The sequence below is a fragment of the Homo sapiens genome, chromosome 4 (genome assembly GCF_000001405.40).
Source record: "Homo sapiens chromosome 4, GRCh38.p14 Primary Assembly".
NCBI lineage: Eukaryota > Metazoa > Chordata > Mammalia > Primates > Hominidae > Homo > Homo sapiens.
In genome coordinates, this window is record NC_000004.12 from 139095244 (window position 1) to 139113574 (window position 18331).

The following is an 18331-nucleotide window of genomic DNA, read 5'->3' on the forward strand; positions in this document are numbered from 1 at the left end:
GCACAATCTCAGCTCACTGCAACCTCCACCTCCCAGATTCAAGCAATTCTCGCACCTCAGCCTCCCAAGTAGCTGGGATTACAGGTATGCAACATCACGCCCAGCTAATTTTTGTATTTTCAATAGAGACAGAGTTTCGCCATGTTGGCCAGGCTGGTATCAAACTCCTGACCTCAACTGATCTGCCCACCTCAGCCTCCCAAAGTGCTGGGATTACAGGCATGAGCCACTGTGCCAGCCTGCTATAGATTTTTAATATATACTCTTTATCAGGTTCCAATCCAGATTAAGAGTATTTTATCCTCAGCAGATTTTAAATTTTAACAAATTTTTTTTAAATCTATACAGATGATTACATGAGTATTCTCCTTTAATCTAGTCACATGGCTACTACAATAATTAACTTTTTAATATATAGCCATCTTTGCCTTCCTATTATGAATTTAGTCATTATGTATTTTTAAATCAATGATGGATTTCATTTGCTATTCTTTATTTAGAATATTTGTAGCTATGATTGGCCAGGCACAGTGGCTCATGCCTGTAATCCCAGCACTTTGGGAGGCCAAGGCGGGTGGATCACTTGAGGTCAGGAGTTCAAGATCAGCCTGGCCAACATGGTGAAACCCCATCTCTACTGAAGTACAAAAATTAGCTGGGCACGGTGGCACACGCCTGTAGAAACAGTGAAACCCCGTCTCTACTAAAAATACAAAAATTAGCCAGGTGTGGTGGCATATGCCCGTAATCCCAGCTACTCGGGAGGCTGAGGCAGGAGAATCGCTTAAACCCGGGAGGTGGAGGTTGCAGTGAGCCGAGATCACGCCACTGCACTCCAGCCTGGGCAACAGAACAAGACTCTGTCATACATACAAAAAAAGAACATTTGTAGCTATGCGCATATATGAGTTTGACCCAAAAAAAAAATTCTGTTATTATATTGGATAAGTTTCAAGGTTAAGGTTATACTAACTTCATAAAATGAGTTGGAAAGCTTTCCCTCTTTTACTATTCTTTTGTGATAGTTTATATATGACAAGCATTATGTATCCTCTGAAATTTTAGTAATAAATCTGGGTCTGATGGACTTTTTTTTTAATACTTCCACGTTATAATGGACTTTATTTAAATGTGTATATAAGGAAGATGCATATGTAAGATTAAAGAAATTGAATGGTTATTAATTTGTCTGGGCTTTCTATTTCTTCTTGAGTCACTTATAAATTAGTTTTGTTTTTTGAGACAGGCTCTCACTCTGCCTAGGCTCTAGTGTAGTGGTGTGATCTCGACTCACTGCAACCTCCACCTCCCAGGTTCAAGCGATTCTCCTGCCTCAGCTTCCTGGGTGGCTGAGACTACAGGTGTACACCACCATACCAAGCTTTTTTTTTTTTTTTTTTTAATTCTTTGTAGCCAGGAGGTCTCACCATGTTGCAGGCTGGTCTCGAACTCCTGGACTCAAGCAATCTGCCCACCTCAGCCTCCCAAAGTGCTAGGATTACAGGTGTAAGCAACAGTGCTTGGCCTAAACTATAAAATTTTAACATTATCCTTTCACAGGTTTTTAAATTCCTTGGCAACAGGTTTTTCATAGTATTCTTTCATGGTTTTTAAACTTTTTATTCCGTTGGCCATATTTTTGTTCTTCAGAGTGCTCATTTTTCTTTAATCTGTCTTTACAGAGGTTCTTCCATTTTATTAGTTTCTGGTTTTATTAATAATCTAGTACTGTTTTATTTTCTATTTATTGACTTTCATCTTTATTTTTAACTTACCTCTACTTTACTTGGATTTATTCTGTTGGTCCTATATTAACATGTAGATTTAGGTATATGCTCATTATATCAATCTTTCTTATTTTCCAGTAAATACATTCAAAGCTATTATATTTCATAGTGAGTTCTGCTTAAGCGAAATTCCAAGTTTTTGGTTTTTTTGTTTGTTTGTAGCCTCTGTCGCAGAGGCTGGAGAGTACAGTGGCACAATCATGGCTCACTGCAGCCTTGAACTCCCGGGCTCAGGTGGTTCTCCCATCTCAGCCTCCCAAGTGGGATTACAGGTGTGCACCCACACCCAGCTACATTCCAAGTTTTAATGTGCAATATTTTCGGCCAGACGCGGTGGCACTTTGGGAGGCCAAGGCGGGCAGATCACTTGAGGTCAGGAGTTTAAGACCAGCCTGGCAAATATGGGTGAAACCCCGTCTCTACTAAAAATACAAAAATTAGCCGGGTATGGTAGCATATGCCCGTAATCCCAGCTACTCGGGAGGCTGAGGCAGGAGAATCACTTGAACCCAGAAGGCAGAGGTTTCAATGAGCCAAGATCATGCCACTGCACTCCAGCCTGGGTGACGGAGCAAGACTCTGTCTCAAAAAAAAAAAAAAAAGTAAAGAAAAAAAAATATGCAATGCTTTCAATGTTATTTAGCTATAAGTATTTTAACATTTTCATTTCTTTTTTGATCCACTAATTTTTAGTTTCCAATATTATTATTTTGATTGTCTTTTTCATTGTTTTCTAATATTCTTACATCATGACAAAATATTTTGTTTGATTTTCTTTTTAGAGAGAAGGTCTAGCTGTCACCCAGGCTGGAGTACAATGTGGCCTATAGGTGAGTGCCACCATGCCCAGCTAATTTATTTTTTGCAGAGACAGAGTCTCACTATATGGTCTTGCCTGGCTTCAAGTGATCCTCCTGCCTCAGCCTCCCAAAGCACTAGGATTACCGGCATGAGCTGCCATGCCTGGCTGAAATAACGTATTTTGTATGACACTGATTTTCTAGACATTGTTAACATTCCTCTATGGAACATGGTTAAAAACTGACATACATAACTAAAAAATGTTTAAGTTTCTATTAGGTTAGGTACAATGTCCTATATATCTCCAATTTACGAAGTTTGTTAAGCCCTTTGTAGTTGAATTCTTTGATACTATTTTTAATTTCATATATGCTTTTTTACACTTTGACAAAGATGTCCCACTATTTTGTAGATATGTCTAGTTTTCCTAAAAATTTTTGTTTTAAGTGGTATTTCAAGGCTGTGTTGCTAGATGCATGTAAGTTTATGATGATTTTGTTTTCTAGATTGTTCCTTTTAGCAGTATAAAGAGTATCTCTCTGTCCCAATGAAAAATGTTCACCCTAAATTCTATTTTATTATACCAGCTCCCTTTGATTAGTACTTTTCTGGTAAACAGATTTCTCTATTTTTAAAACTTTTTTTTTTTTTTTTTGAGACAGAGCTTCACTCTGTCACCCAGGCTGGAGTGCAGTGGCACGATCTCGGCTCACTGCAACCTCCACCCTCCAGGTTCAAATGATTCTCCTTCCTCAGCCTCCTGAGTAGCTGGGACTACAGGCGCCTGCCACCGCGCCCGGCTAATTTTTTGTATTTTTGGTAGAGATGGGGTTTCACCATCTTGGCCAGGCTGCTCTTGAACTCCTGACCTCGTGATCCACCCGCCTCGGCCTCCCAAAGTGCTGGGATTACAGGCATGAGCCACCGTGCCCGGCCGATATTTTTAAAACTTAATTTTGGTTTATCTGTTATATATTAGCTGTTTCCATTCATTTAATTTTGCTTTATGCATCTATTATAAATAACACAGGTTCTTGTCTTGTGATCACAATAGATAACTTTAATATAATTTCTGATATATTTTGTACTTACTTCTACTATCTTGATTTATTATTTCTATTCCATCATTTTATTCTCCTTTGTTGCCTTTTGTTAAATTGGTCAAGTTTAGTTTATTCCCTAACCTATCCCAAAGTTAGTATTTTGAAAGCTACGTCTTCTATGTTCTGGATGTTTAAAATAAATGTCCCTCTTTTCACTTCTCATCTTTTCCAAATAATGTTTCATACAGTTCCTCACTATTTTATTCAAGGGCCATCACAATCTGGTCCCACTGTACCTTTACCTGTCTAGCCTTATCTCTCAACCATACCTGTCTATATAGCCTAAACTCTAGTTAAACTACACTAACGAGCAGTAAACTACATTGACGGGCAGTGTCTAAATAAAATACAAAGTTCTTGGCAATCCTTTCTGGTTCATGATGTGTTCTCATTAATAAACAAATATTTTATTGAAAACCTACTGGGTTCCTGGCCCTGAGCAATTCCAGTAAGCACAATGGATACAGTCTCTGACTTTATGGAGCACAGTGTGGAAACATTAAGCAAACGAGCACAAATATAAATATAGTCAAGTAAAACTTCCTAAATACATGAATTCAGGTAAGTCAACTGATAATTGGCTCCCGTCTTCCATCCTATCCTCAAAAAGCAGTCACAGAAGTACACAACTACCACCAGGTGGCACCAAACCACAGCTGGACCTTAGACTGATTTTGGATACCTTAGTCTGAATTCTGGAACCCATTTCATACACACACCTCTTCCTCCTATACCCAGACTGACCCAGGCCATTTCATTAACCTCACATTAATGCCAGATTTTATGTGATTTGAACTTCTTGGAAGGTATTTACTACCTAATGGTGGGAACTGAATGCATGACAAGTTGTAGGTGCTAAAAACAAAACACATTAAATAATGGAGGGCTATGATAAAAAATAACAGAACAGTCCTAATTGAGATTTAAGAATATCAGCCAAGGCCTCTTTCTCTGTGAGAAAGTGACATTTAAACTATAATCTAAAGGACAACCAGGAGTTAGAAATTGAAAACTAGAAAATAATCTACTCCAGACAGAAAATGGCATGCGTGAACACCCTGTGGAGGTCAAGAGTTTGGATTAATGGAAGGATGAAAGGAGCACTGTGATTACAATAATTTGTATTGTGAGGGGAAGGGATATTATATAATGCATCAGAGTACAATGCTTGAGCTTGGGCTCTGGGTTAAATCCTTGCTTCCACCACTTAAATAGCTATCTAGCCTTGGAAAAGTTATTCGGCCTAGGGTTGAGAGTGTGAAATATGTAATGTTAATATGTAAAACCCTAAAAACAATTCCTGGCAACATAGTAAAGAAACTTTAAATGTTAGAGCTGTCTTTTTTTTTCCTTTTTGGGGGGTTGCTATTATTGTTATTGTTTCTAGATGAATGTGAGAAGCCAAATTATTCAGTGTCTTAAAGACCATATTAAAAACTCCTGCCAGGCGCAGCAGCACATGCCCGTGATCCCAACTACTTGGGAGGCTGAGGCAGAAGGATCGCCTGAGTCCAGAAATGCTGGGCTATAGTGCACTAAGTCAATTGGGTATCTGCACTAAGTTCGGCATAAACGTGAGGGACCACAAGGTTGCCTAAGGAGAGGTGAACCAGACCAGCCTGGAAACAGAGCAAGTCAAAACTCCTGTCCTGATGAGTAGTGGGACTGCACCTGTGCATAACCACTGTACTCCAGCTTGGGCATCATAACAAGACCATAACTCTTTAAAAAAAACATTTTTTTAACTGCATCCATTGAAATACAGAAAAAAAATAAAAATTAAGTGAAAACAATTTAAAAATACTCTGAATTTTATCTTAAGTGCAATTAGAATCCACTGAAAGATTTTAGGGAGGGAGTATCACTATTCCACTTACAAATTTATATTTTAAATCACTTTGGCTACTATGGTGAGCATAGATTGCTGGGGGTAGGAGGAGGAGGCAATAATGAAAACAGGCTGATTAGAAGGCCAAAGGCCATCAACATAGCTCATGTAAAAAAACTACAGAGTGAACTAGCCTAGTAGCAATGAAGATAGGAAGACTCGAGATATACTTTGGAGGCAAAATTAACATGATTTGGTAATGGACTGGGAGAAGGTAGGAAAAGGTATAAATAAATGACTTCTCAACTAGAAAATTCTTTTCTTCCCAATGAAATTTTATTTATCCTCCCAAACTCAACTAAAATGTAAACTTCCCATCAGAATAGCTAAGATCTGTCTCCTTCACTATTATAACACTAATATTATTAAACCTTAGGTTATGAAGAGTTGTTTCCTTATATATTTTCCCCACAAATGAGTGAGTTTCTTTACAGGAGGGGCCATATCTAATTTCTTGCTCTAGTTCACATAAAAAAAACACAGTGCCACACACATCACAGGTCATCTCAGGTAACCCCACTAATGGTCTCAGATCCAGGACAACTCCTTATTCTTTTGTTCTTCCTTTGATAAGCACAAGAATTCAGTCTGCTTTCTTCTCCTTTCAGCTCTTCTATTTTTTGGAGTTCTGTTTTCCCTAAGACTAGCTGCAGAATTAACTGCAGTCTCTCATTAGCCCTTCCCATTTCTTGTGGCCTCCAAAAACAAATATATGGGGATTCTTTTTGTAAAGTGCTTGGTACTAATTATTATGGAGAAACAGAGGATAACAAAATTAGACACAGGATTTATATGATCTTACAATAGTGGTCTCTGACCTATACAATACTTGACTCCTTTTGTAAGACGGTAAACTGAATGCACTGGCTTCTGATCTTTACTTTTATTCCCAAGGATAAAGGTCACTAAAGGTTCTTCCTTTTTTATGGAGGCCTCCCTTCCCAGAACATAGGCCTTCAGATGAAGCCTAGCCAAAATAATCAGTGCTTCTTGTCTCAAGTAAATAACTTGCACCTGATAGCCTCCTAAGTATGTAATATTAGCAATGGAATTAAAAACAAATGTAATTCTGCCAGCCTTGTTTTTCCAAACAAAATGAAAAAAGCTTAATGTTGTAAACCTAGATACTAACTATAGACCAATGTCCCTAAAGAAAAAGATAAAAAAAAAAAAGGGGGGGATGTCAAGTTTATTCAAGAAAGTAAATGTCTCAAAAAGAAATTACCACCTTTTAATTTCTTTCTCCTCTTGAACCAAGTTCTTGGTTTCCTCTTCAAAAGAAGTTTTTCATTCTCAGTAATTATTCTAAATCCTGCCTTTATTTTCCAACTATTACACATCAGAAAAAAGGTCATATGGGGAAAAAAATTCAGATTTTCCTGAAAGACTTGTCAAACACCATATATAAGAAGTATCAGGGCCGGGCGCAGTGGCTCACGCCTGTCATCCCAGCACTTTGGGAGGCCGAGGTGGGTGGATCACGAGGTCAAGACATCGAGACCATCCTGGCTAACACAGTGAAACCCGGTCTCTACGAAAAAAAAAAAAAAAATACAAAAAATTAGCCGGGCGTGGTGGGTGGTGGCGGGCGCCTGTAGTCCCAGCTACTCGGGAGGCTGAGGCAGGAGAATTGTTTGAACCCAGGAGGCGGAGGTTGCAGTGAGCGGAGATAGCACCACTGCACTCCAGCCTGGGAGACAGAGGGAGACTCCGTCTCAAAAAAAAAAGGAAGTATCGGCCGGGCATGCTGGCTCACGCCAGAATTCCCAGCACTTTGGGAGGCTGAGGCAAGCGGATCATCTGAGGTCAGGAGTTTTAGACCAGCCTGGCCGAGATGGTGAAACCCCATCTCTACTAAAAATAAAAAAATTAGCCAGGCGTGGTGGCGGGCACCTGTAATCCCAGCTACTCGGGAGGCTGAGGCAGCAGAATTGCTTGAACCCAGGAGGCGGAGGTTGCAGTGAGCTGAGATCATGCCACTGCACTCCAGCCTGGGCGACAGAGCAAGACTCCATCTCCAAAAAAAAGAAGTATCTTTTTGCTAACTAGATCGGAGACATAAATGTTTTTTTTTTTCCCCCCTGAGACAGGGTCTCGCTCTGTCAGAATGCAGTGTCAGGATCACAGCTCACTGCAGCCTTGACCTACCAAGTGCAAGCAATCTGCCCACCTCAGCCTCCAAGTGGCTGGGACTTCAGGCACCTGCCACTATGCCCGACTAATTTTTGTATTTTTTGTACAGATGGGGTTTTGCCATATTGCCCAGGCTAACCTTTTCTTTTTGATGTAAAACTTTCTCATGATCTTTTGCAAGTTCATCTACTGATAAGAAAATCTCCCAAGTTCTAGCTGTGATATTGTGAAATATGTGTGAAATATATATATTTAGTCTTGCTCCCCATTTCCTGGCATACAAGTCCTAAAATCCTTGGAATCTCCAAAGTAGTAAGTGTTCTTTTGTGTGCTAAAGATTGAGTAATGGCTGGCAGCCCCTAGGTATCTTCAGGATGGGGGCTAGTCACCAGAAAGACCAAGGCAGGATTATAGGGTTGGGACTTTCAGCCCCACTCCCAACCTCTGGGCCTCGGGAAACAGGGCTGAAGGTTAAGTCAACCACCAATAGCCAATGACTTAATCAATCATGCCTACTTAATCAAGCTTCCATAAAAACCCAAAACGAATGAGTTCAGAGACTTTCCTGATAGCTGAACATGTGGAGGTTCCTGGAGTGTGGCATGCCCAGCAAGGGCATGGGACCTCCATGACCCTTCCCCAATACTTCACGCCCTATGCATTTCTTCATCTGTATCCTTTAAATATCCTTTATGATAAACTGGTAAATGTGTTTCTCAGAGGATCTGATGCTATCTCCAAGTAGACAGTGTCAGAACTGAATTGAATTAGAGGACACCCAGCTGGTGTCCACTACAGAACTGACTGACTAGTTTATTGGTCGGGAGAAATCCCACACACTTCATGGTAATCAGATGTCCCAGAGGTCTTCTGTGTTAACTGTTGAGAGCATAGTGAGACAAAGAGTTTGCTTTTCTACTCACTAACAAATAATTGTTTAAAGATATTCTTAAGTCCTGAAAAATAATTGCATATTATCACCACCCAGTTTAATATAAAACATATGAAAAGTATTTTAGTTAAATAAAAAAAGTAATTGCTCATTCCCTTCAAGTAGTGTATATATTTTGGCATATTTACAAAGTGAAAAGAAATCAAACACCCAATTATGACCAAACACTGACTTTAAACCAGGAGAAAACAGCATAGGACTTCTTTCATTTAAAAACAAAAACAAACAACAACAAAAAACTGTTATTCTAATGAAAATAAAGGCTATAAAGCTACATTTGTCTCTTGATATACTCAATGAAAAAAATATACAGGAATGTTGGCTGGGCACGGTGGCTCATGCCTGTAATCCCAGCATTTTGGGAGGCCGAGGTGGGCAGATCACTTGAGGTCAGGAGTTCGAGACCACCCTGGTCAACATGGTGAAACCCTGTCTCTATTAAAAACACAAAAATTAGCCAGGCGTGGTGGTGCCCACCTGTAGTCCCAGCTACTCAGGAGGCTGAGGCAGGAGAATAACTTGAGCCCGAAAGGCGAGGTTGCCGTGAGCTGAGATCGTGCCACTGCACCCCAGCCTGGAAGACACAGTGAGACTCTGTCTCAAAAAAAAAAAAAAAAAAAGAAAAGAAAAGAAAAAATATAGGAATGTAAAAAATTTAAAAAGTCATAGTTAGTCCTACTTCACCTCCTAATTCCACTCCCAAATCATAACCAATTACTGCAAACAGGCTGAGTTCTTAGCATTGTTCCCTGATTTTTCCATCAATGAGGACAGGAAAATCTTTCTGATTTTTTATGGTATTGTTACACACATAAAAAATTAAAAATAATGAGATTTAGGAATACTTAATTCCATTTGACTTGTTCCTCTGCCTCTAACCAGAGGCCTTCACTGTCAACTCTCATGATGACATTTAAATGGGACCTACCACAATAGCAATAATGTAATCTGGAACATTTGAATTCACTACCATACTTGGCAATTCTTTCCCTCACCTTTCCCCAACCCTATCTACTCTATAATACTATTATTTGCCTGAATGCTCATTTTTCGCAACTTAGTAAGCTTCTTTGAGGCTAGAAAGCATGTGTTATTCAACAACGAATTGTTCACTTTCTAGGAGCCATGGCAGTAATATAGGTAATGTGTACATGATAAATGTTAAGATTACCAATTAACTATCTCAATTGTACCTAATAACTGTCATATGGAAAGGGAGAGGAAAAAAACTATCCACTGCTTTAACTGCTTGAAAAGAATAATTCATGAGTTTATTATTTTAGCTTAATTCCATATATTTACTTTAAAGAACAATTTCAAGTTATATAATTTGATTTGTGACAAAGTAATTTTACTGTAGTGCAAACTTACATGTTTTGTCCACTAGATTCTAAGTACCATAAATGTAGAGACTTTGCCTTTCTTGTCTACATTGTAGCCCCGTGCCTTAAAATAATGCCTTGCATTTACTAGGTGCTCAATGAATGCTTAATGATGAATAGTAATGATGTGTTACACTATTTCATACACCTGAAAGGACTTTACCATCCTTTTACTCCCCAAAACAATTTTTTATGATGGGTATAATATAGTAAGAAACTACAGAGTTAACTGAATTTTAACAATGGCAGAAACTCCCTTTCTGTGCTGTCATTTCCAACACTCTAGGGATAATGATTGTCAAAAAATGATCCTGGCCAGGCACTGTGGCTCATGCCTGTAATCTCAGCACTTTGGGAGGCCAATGTGGGAGGATCACTTGAGGCCAGGAGTTTGAGACCACCCTGGGCAACATACAGAGATTCCATCCCTACCAAAAAAGAAATGATAAAAAAATTGCTGAGTGTGGTGGCTCACACCTGTAGTCCCAGCTACTTGGGAGGCTGAGGTGGGAGGACTGCTTAATCCCAGGAGTTCAAGGTAGCAGTGAGGTATAATGACACCACTGCACTCCATCTTGGGCAACAGAGTAAAACCCTGCCTCAAAATAATAACGATCCCTGGCCAACAGCAGCCTTATCACCTAGGGACTTGTTAGAAATGCAAATTCTCCAGTTCTACCACAGATCCACTGAATCAGAAGTCCTGGGGATGGGTCCAACAATCTGTATTTTAACAAGCCCTTCTGATAATTCTTATGTATGCTTAAGTTTAAGAACCATTGGCCATGGAAATTTTTGTCATGGAGATAGAAGGGATCTTAAACCAACAAAGAGGTCATTAAAATATTTAATAAACATTTAAAGAAATATATTAAATGTTCAGCCAAAGAAATTAAATTCTCACTCCATTAACGAATATGAAAAATTACCACTACATGACTGAGAGGCTTTTTTTCCTTTAAAAAAAGAATACAGCAGGGATCATAAAACTGTACTTAAAATGTGACATATTTAAACTGGCTTTCAGATCCCTAGTATGGATTATTAGAGAAAAGAGAATGGAAGTAGGGCAGAACATAGAGGAAGAAAGGATGATGAAAAAAAAGGTAGATGACAGTTAAAATAATACATGGGTGAGACCTGGGAACAATAGTTTTTTAGCTTCTAACTAAAATTTAGCTCTTTCGTTTTAAATAAAAGCACAAACCACAGTTGTTTTAGTAGTATCTGTGACTTCATGACCAATATAAATCACAGATATTTTCATATCATATTACGGTTTTTTTTTTCTTTGAGACAGGGTCTCGCTCTATATAATTTATGGTTGTCACTACTTTGAAATTATAGCAGTAAATTATATCTGTCACTAGATCTCATTATTTAATATATTAATACAGAAACACATGCATTGATATATATCACAATTTAAAATAGTTTGATAACTATATTTCTTTTTTTTTTTTTTTTTTTTGAGATAGAGTTTCGCTCTTGTTGCCCAGGCTGGAGTGCAATGGCTTGATCTCGGCTCACTGCAACCTCCGCCTGCCAGGTACAAGTGATTCTCCTGTCTCAGCCTCCCAAGCGGCTCAGATTACAGGCATGCGCCACCATGCCTGGCTATTTTTTTTTTGTATTTAGCAGAGAAGGGGTTTCACCACGTTACTCAGGCTGGTTGCAAACTCCTGACCTCAGGTGTTTCACCTGCTTCGGCCTCCCAAAGTGCTGGGATTACAGGCGTGTGCCACCATGCCCAGCCTTGATAACTATATTTCAATATATATGGTTCCTTTTTAATCCTAGATATTTTACTTTATATTTTAAAACAATGCTCCGAGAGAAAGTTCATGGGCTTCACCCTATGGCCAAAAAGGTTCATGACACAAAAAGGTTGAAAAACCTTACAATCTAAGAACTGACCACTGAATTTAAAAAAGGAAAAAAACAAAGGAAAACCTTACAAAATTTAACAGGTAAGAGCTATTAAAAGTTCTGTTGACCCCCTCTGAGTGATAGGCCTCTTTATAAATAGACATTCACAGACAACTACCCTCTTCACCACTACTACCACCTCCTTGAAACATATTTGTGTTAAAAACCTCTTGTTAAAACAAAACAATAAATGTTTGAGGTGATGGATATCCCAATTACTCTGACTTTATCATCACACATTATATATATGTATCAAAATATCATACGTACCCCAAAATATGTACGATTATAAACCAATTTTAAAAATACAAAAAAATCAAACTAAAACACAACACCAAGGGTAATAACAATCAACAGCTAATAACTATAGTTAAAAGAGACAGAGAGGCATCTTTACCATGCAATCAGGGAATTTTCACATTTTAGGGGAATCAAAAAAAAGCACCTCTCAATAGCTAAACAGACTTCTATTAGTAACTCCCTTAATCTTCTTGTACTAAACATTTGGGTATTCTAGATTTAGAAACATGTGAATGTTGGAAAGGTAATATGATACACATACCAAATATAACATAACAACTCTCACAAGTATGGGATAGCACCACATGATAAAACTGATAAATACCGGAAAGATCAAGAAATCCTTCCTAGAGAAATGTCTGATCACAGATAAAAACAGAGGGGCTGAGTTTTTAGGCAAAGTGTAAACCTTACCAAGTTGTGGAAGCTAGAGAGCCAGGAGAAGAGAAAAAAAAAAAGGCATGGTAAGAGCTAAAACTGAAAAGGTGAGAATGTGTATCTTTAAGGCATTTGATTTTATCCAGAATGTCATGATAATTAATACAAGGGCTTTATGAAAGAAAATGACAATCAATTTGTCGATGATAGGCTGTCATTAAATTTTTTAAAAAAGAAATGACAAAGTACATTTTAGAAAACTTATACTAGCAGCAGTATGAAGAATGTATTGAGCTTTCTTCATGCCAGGCACCATGCTTAACACTGGGAATACCTTATTATTAGTTTTCAGAACAGTGAGAGATAACTACTGTATTCTTCATTTTGCAGATGAGGAAACTCGTACTAACAGAAAGTAAGTGGCTTCCTCAAGGTTATACAGATTAAATTAACGATAGAAGGGAGACACAATTCTCTTTTGATTTATGGTAGCAAAATGGAAATTCAGAACATTTTATTAATAACTATGTTATGGAAGCTTATTAAAAAACAAAAACTACAGAATCTCTCAGGCCCCAAAGCAGCACTCTAGAACAGAAACAGTCCCATCCTAGCAATCAGGAGACCAGGGTTTCTGGACCTGCTCCATTGCTAACTAGCTCTTTTGAAGAGGTGGACTAGATTACCCTAAAATCCATTCATATTCTAAAAAAAAAAAAAATTCTGTGCTTTCTAAAAATGCCACAGAATGACTAAAAAGCACACTCAAAATAGCAGACTAGGGTTGTGGGGAGGTGGTTAATGGATAAGAAGGCAACAAAACATACCCTGCTCTGAGAACAGACTTGTCTTTATTAAACAGGTAAATGTCCGTGGGTAGAAAAAAAAATAAAAGAATCGAAGAACTGGTTGTTAAGGAAGGTCACAGAAGACTCTCAAACGAGGGGAACAGAACAACCTTCAAACTCACACATCTGAACATTTTAAGATCCGGGGCCCAAATAAGTATGCTTCCTGCCCCGTGTCTAGAACTGTTAAGAGTAACTCTGATGCAATGATCGAATGAGGAGGCATCATAGCAACTCTTCTTTATTTAAAGAAAAACATCATGGAAAGTATCTTCTGCCAAAGATACTATGTTATCTCCCTGAAAAAGCCCTCATATACCTTAAGGAGAGCATAGTAAACAAGCATCATTGCCACAAATAACCTGCTGGTATAAATCTAACTTTATTTTTTTTTTCAGGAAGATGCTTCAATAATTTCAAAAAGTAAAGCTAACAACATTTTAGTTTCTTGGTCCAACAATTATTTCTGGTCACTAATGTAAGACAACTTGGGGTCTGGCCAGTACTCCTAACCCACAGTATTTAACTGTCTGATTTACAAAATTAAAAAATTAAAACCTAGTTGAGAAAAATGCACTACCACGGCATGAGACGAGCAGCATTAAGAAGCAGCAGACTTAATGAGGTAAAAGGCTAAATATAATACAGTTTATTAAATGAGAATTTTAGTCCCTTGGCTATTTATGACTGTGCCAAAGTAGTACTAACAAGCCAGGTGGTCCTGCTCTAAAGGTATAAGGCTGTTCTATAAGACATTTAGTCTTAAGAGATAATCTCTTAAAAGAGATACCTCTTCTTTAGAATCACATTTGCATATTAAAACATCTGAGAAGTCTTCCTGTAAATAAATCTGTTTAATTTTCCTTCACCCAGCATTTTCTAAACTTATTTAATGAAAAACCCATTTTTCACAGCCATAAAAAGGAATGAAATCGTGTCCTTTGTAGCAACATGGAACAGCCGGAGGCTAACGCACAGACAAAAACCCAAATATCACACTTACAAGTGGGAGCTAAATTTTGGGTTCACAAAATACATAAAGATGGGAATAACAGTCACTGGGGATTCCAAAAGGAGGGAGGGAGGAACAGAGGGAGGGAGAAAGGAGCAAGGATATTTTTAAAACTTCCCACGTGTACTGTGTTCACTATCTGGGTGATGGGATCAATAGAAGCCCAAACCTCAGCATCATGCAGTATACTCTCGTAACAAACCTGCACATGTACCCCCTGAATCTAAAATAAAAAGAAACGTTAAAAAATATTTTTGTGTTATAATTAATATTGTATATTAGAAATCGCTTTGAAAAAGAACGCTATTTTTTGATGTAAGCATCTTCTAAGTACTAGCCATATCAACTAATCAGAAAAACTTTTAAGAAATTTACACTCAAAGCTATGTCTGTGCTATTGGTGTAAAAGAAGAAAAAACTACCTAATCACAATAACAAGATTAAGACTCTTAAAGTGGCAAAATAAGATAAAGCTGCTGACCATAGCAGAGCACATGCTCTGGGGTCCTGGTCCTTCCCCCAAAACAATATGATGGGCTTACGTCACATTTTCTTGCCCAGTTCCTGTTGTGACCAAAGACAGACATCTGTAAGGCAGCTATCCAGGGACAAAATGTTTGAGAATGGCCATGGAATAAAACTAACTAAAGATAAAACCTGGGTACTAAAAAAAAACTAATCTTTGTTTCATGAAACACCTTTCTAATCCGGAGACTGAACTGACAACCATATCATAGACAATCATATTTTTTCATGCTTTTACAGAATGAAGTTATTAAAAAACAGCATCTCAGAATTGAAAATTATAAAGAAATCTGGTTTGAACACCTACCTGACACTTGAATTCTCTTTACAATATCCCTAAGTGGCATTCTAGTTCTTGCTTTAAAATCTCCAGTTGTAAAGATACTCACAACCTCTCATTCCATCTTAAACAACTGCACTGCTTAGGAGCTATGATTTGAATCTTTATCTAAATCCCTATAAAAATGAGAACTTGTCACTAATAGGCCAACCTACTCCAAAACAATTGTTGTTAAACTAAAAGATCACTTCTTTTTGGCAATTAAAAAACACACATATCCGGAATCTTCCATACTTCTATTGTAAATATTCCATTATATCATTAATAAACAGGATAGTAATTATCTTAAGGAAGAAGGAAAGGGGAAAATTAAATTCGGGAACATAAGATGTATTTAAATTAACACTGCTGCCAATATTTTATTAATTTTAGTAGTACATACTTATTAGTTGAATTTTTCAGTTTTTTAGAATATTCTAAATATTGTGTATTACATTTTTTAAAAAGAAAAAAAATCCATTATAAAGCCCTTTGATATATATTTAGTTGCAAAGGCTCAAATCATAGCTCTTCTGTATATAATTCTCTTTATGGTATCTACTATGACACCTAAGGCCTAGAACACTGTCGATGATGCCAGTGGAAATAAAAACCAGCAGTTGTTTGTATGCAGCGCTGAAAATACAGATAGAGTTTCAAGATAACTTTTACTTACAAGTTAGTCCTCAAAGACATCAAGACCAAAAGAAATATATTAACTTACGCTGTCTAGTCCAAATGATCAAAATGATATACTTTTTTTTTTTGGAGACAGGGTCTTGCTTGTTTGCCCAGGCTGGAGCAGTGGCGCCATCACAGCTCAATGCAACCTTGAACTCCTGGGACTGCAAGGAGTAGCTGGGACTACAGGTCCATGCCACCATACCAACCTTTTTTTTTTTTTTTTTGTACAGACAAGGTCTCAATATAAAATAATATTCCTATTACACAATTGACTTAAAGGCCACCAGCCTAGATAAATACCTAACAAATTCAACAAATAGGCATGGCATTCAATCAGGACTCGCTGTTTTGAGTCTCGCCCAGGTCCTGGAAAAACCCAAAAGTTTATACAAATGGGCATGGACAATGGATAAGAGACAATGATTCCTCCTCCTGAAACAACACCGTACAAAGCATCTACCTTGTTAACTCCAAAAAGAAAGGCTGGCTGAGCAACTATTTTAATCTCTACTACTTTTAACTTAGTGTAGGCAATGAGCACACCTATACCCCAAATCTGGAGAGGTAGACAACTTAGTGGAAGGTGAAAAAGAACAGTTAGCTAGATATCAGGGAGCTATGAATGAGAAACCAAGGAGTTCAGACTTTAAGTAATTCTTTGACTGTCCTATTCCTTTTTTCATTTACAGCACTTACTATTTTGAAAAAAACTAAATTTGTATTTTTCAAAACTGCTCAAAACTTTTAAAAGGCTCCTCACTGCCCTTTAGACTTATCTGATCCAAGAAACAGATACAAAGCTTTAAAAGCCCTCAGCAATAAGATTTTTTTCTATTTTGCCTCTTACACCTCATTTTAATCCCCTTTCTTTCTCATAATTCATATCTAGCCCTACTGAATCTCTTTCAGCAACTCAGATAGCCTTGTTTTTCTTCCTCCAGACTTTCAACCTTGCTATTCTCTGCCTGAATAATTACTTCAGATGTCACATCCTCAGGAAGGCATTCTCCTGCTGTTTACTCCCATAAACTTTTAATTAATCCTATCATAATTCTCATCACATTTTATCATAATAACATGTTTAATAAATTGTTCATCTTCTACACATAGCTGAAAGCCTGGTGAGGGCAAAGAGAGGGTCTTGTTTACCACAAGATATTCAGCTCTGAGGCTGGGACATTGCAGGTCCTCAGTAAGCACTGACAGATGGCTGAATGGAGGTATGGATTTGCCTAGGGATATGTGTTAAAGCATTCGTATTTGTACATCTAAGAAAATCTTAAAAACTATCTCTACTTGGCAACACTTGTAACCTTGTTTGCTACTCATTTAAAATTCTATATAATCCACAGTTAGCCTTCTCCTCAGTCTGAATTAATAAAACTGTATTATTTAGATACACTGTTGTATAGCAAAAATTTTTTTTTAATTTTTTTAGTATTTATTGATCATTCTTGGGTGTTTCTCGGAGATGTATAGCAAAATTAAAAGTTAACTAGTGTTTCTTTAAAAAGTCTCTCTGAATCACTTGAACCAGGAGGCGGAAGTTTCAGGGAGCCAGAATTGCACCACTGCACTCCAGCCTGAGTGACGGAACAAGACTCCGTATCAAAAAAGATAAATAAAAAAAATTTTTTAAGTCTCTCTGAATACAAAGGAATGAATGGCTACTAGTTTCCAAAGTCAAACAAATATCTTTTAATGATCTATCGTCTAGATATACTTTTCTTTCCTTTTACATAAAACAGATGTTTCTTGGTATACAAACATCATCTAAAATCATTCCTTTTCATCTAGGCAAGGTAGCTCATGCCTATAATCCCAGCACTGTGGGAGGCCAAGGTGGGAGAATTGCTTGAGCCCAGTAGTATGAGACCAGCCTGGGCAACATACTGAGATCTTGTCTCTGCAAATAATAAAAAAGTTAGCTGAGTGTCGTGGCATTTGCCTGTAGTCCCAGCTACTAGGGAGGCTAAGGTGGGAGGAGCACTACAGCCGGGACAGTCAAGGCTCCAGTGAGCCATGATCATACCACTGCACTCCAGCCTGGGTGACAAAGAGAGACCCTGTCTCAAAATAAAATAAAATTGGCTGAGTGCAGTGGCTCACGCCTGTAATCCCAGCACTCTGGGAGGGCGCGGTGGTGGGTGCCTGTAATCCCAACTACTAGGGAGGCTGAGACAGGAGAATCACTTGAATCTGGGAGGCAGAGTTTGCAGTGAGCCAAGATCGTGCCACTGCACTCCAGTCTTGGTGACAGAGACCCTGTCTCAAAAAAAAATTGGCCGAG

The 18331-nt window shown here is 38.0% G+C and overlaps 1 protein-coding gene and 1 pseudogene across 18 annotated transcripts in view, besides 2 other annotated features; one reads left to right on the forward strand and one right to left on the reverse strand.

The window, feature by feature from the left end:
* Positions 1-18331, reverse strand: part of ELF2 (E74 like ETS transcription factor 2) — a 120696-nt gene that overhangs the window by 38024 nt on the left and 64341 nt on the right. The gene's annotated exons all lie outside the window — the stretch shown is intronic.
* Positions 4192-4486: a silencer, noted in NCBI's record as "tiled region #15356; HepG2 Repressive DNase unmatched - State 12:CtcfO, and K562 Repressive DNase unmatched - State 12:CtcfO". NCBI's record gives its function as "represses a minimal TATA promoter and a strong SV40 promoter by Sharpr-MPRA in HepG2 and K562 cells {active_cell/tissue: HepG2 | K562}" and the evidence as "EXISTENCE:reporter gene assay evidence [ECO:0000049][PMID:27701403]".
* Positions 4366-4425: a silencer, noted in NCBI's record as "silent region_15695". NCBI's record gives its function as "represses an Ori minimal core promoter by ATAC-STARR-seq in GM12878 lymphoblastoid cells {active_cell/tissue: GM12878}" and the evidence as "EXISTENCE:reporter gene assay evidence [ECO:0000049][PMID:35858748]".
* Positions 5134-5415, forward strand: RN7SL382P (RNA, 7SL, cytoplasmic 382, pseudogene; annotated as a pseudogene).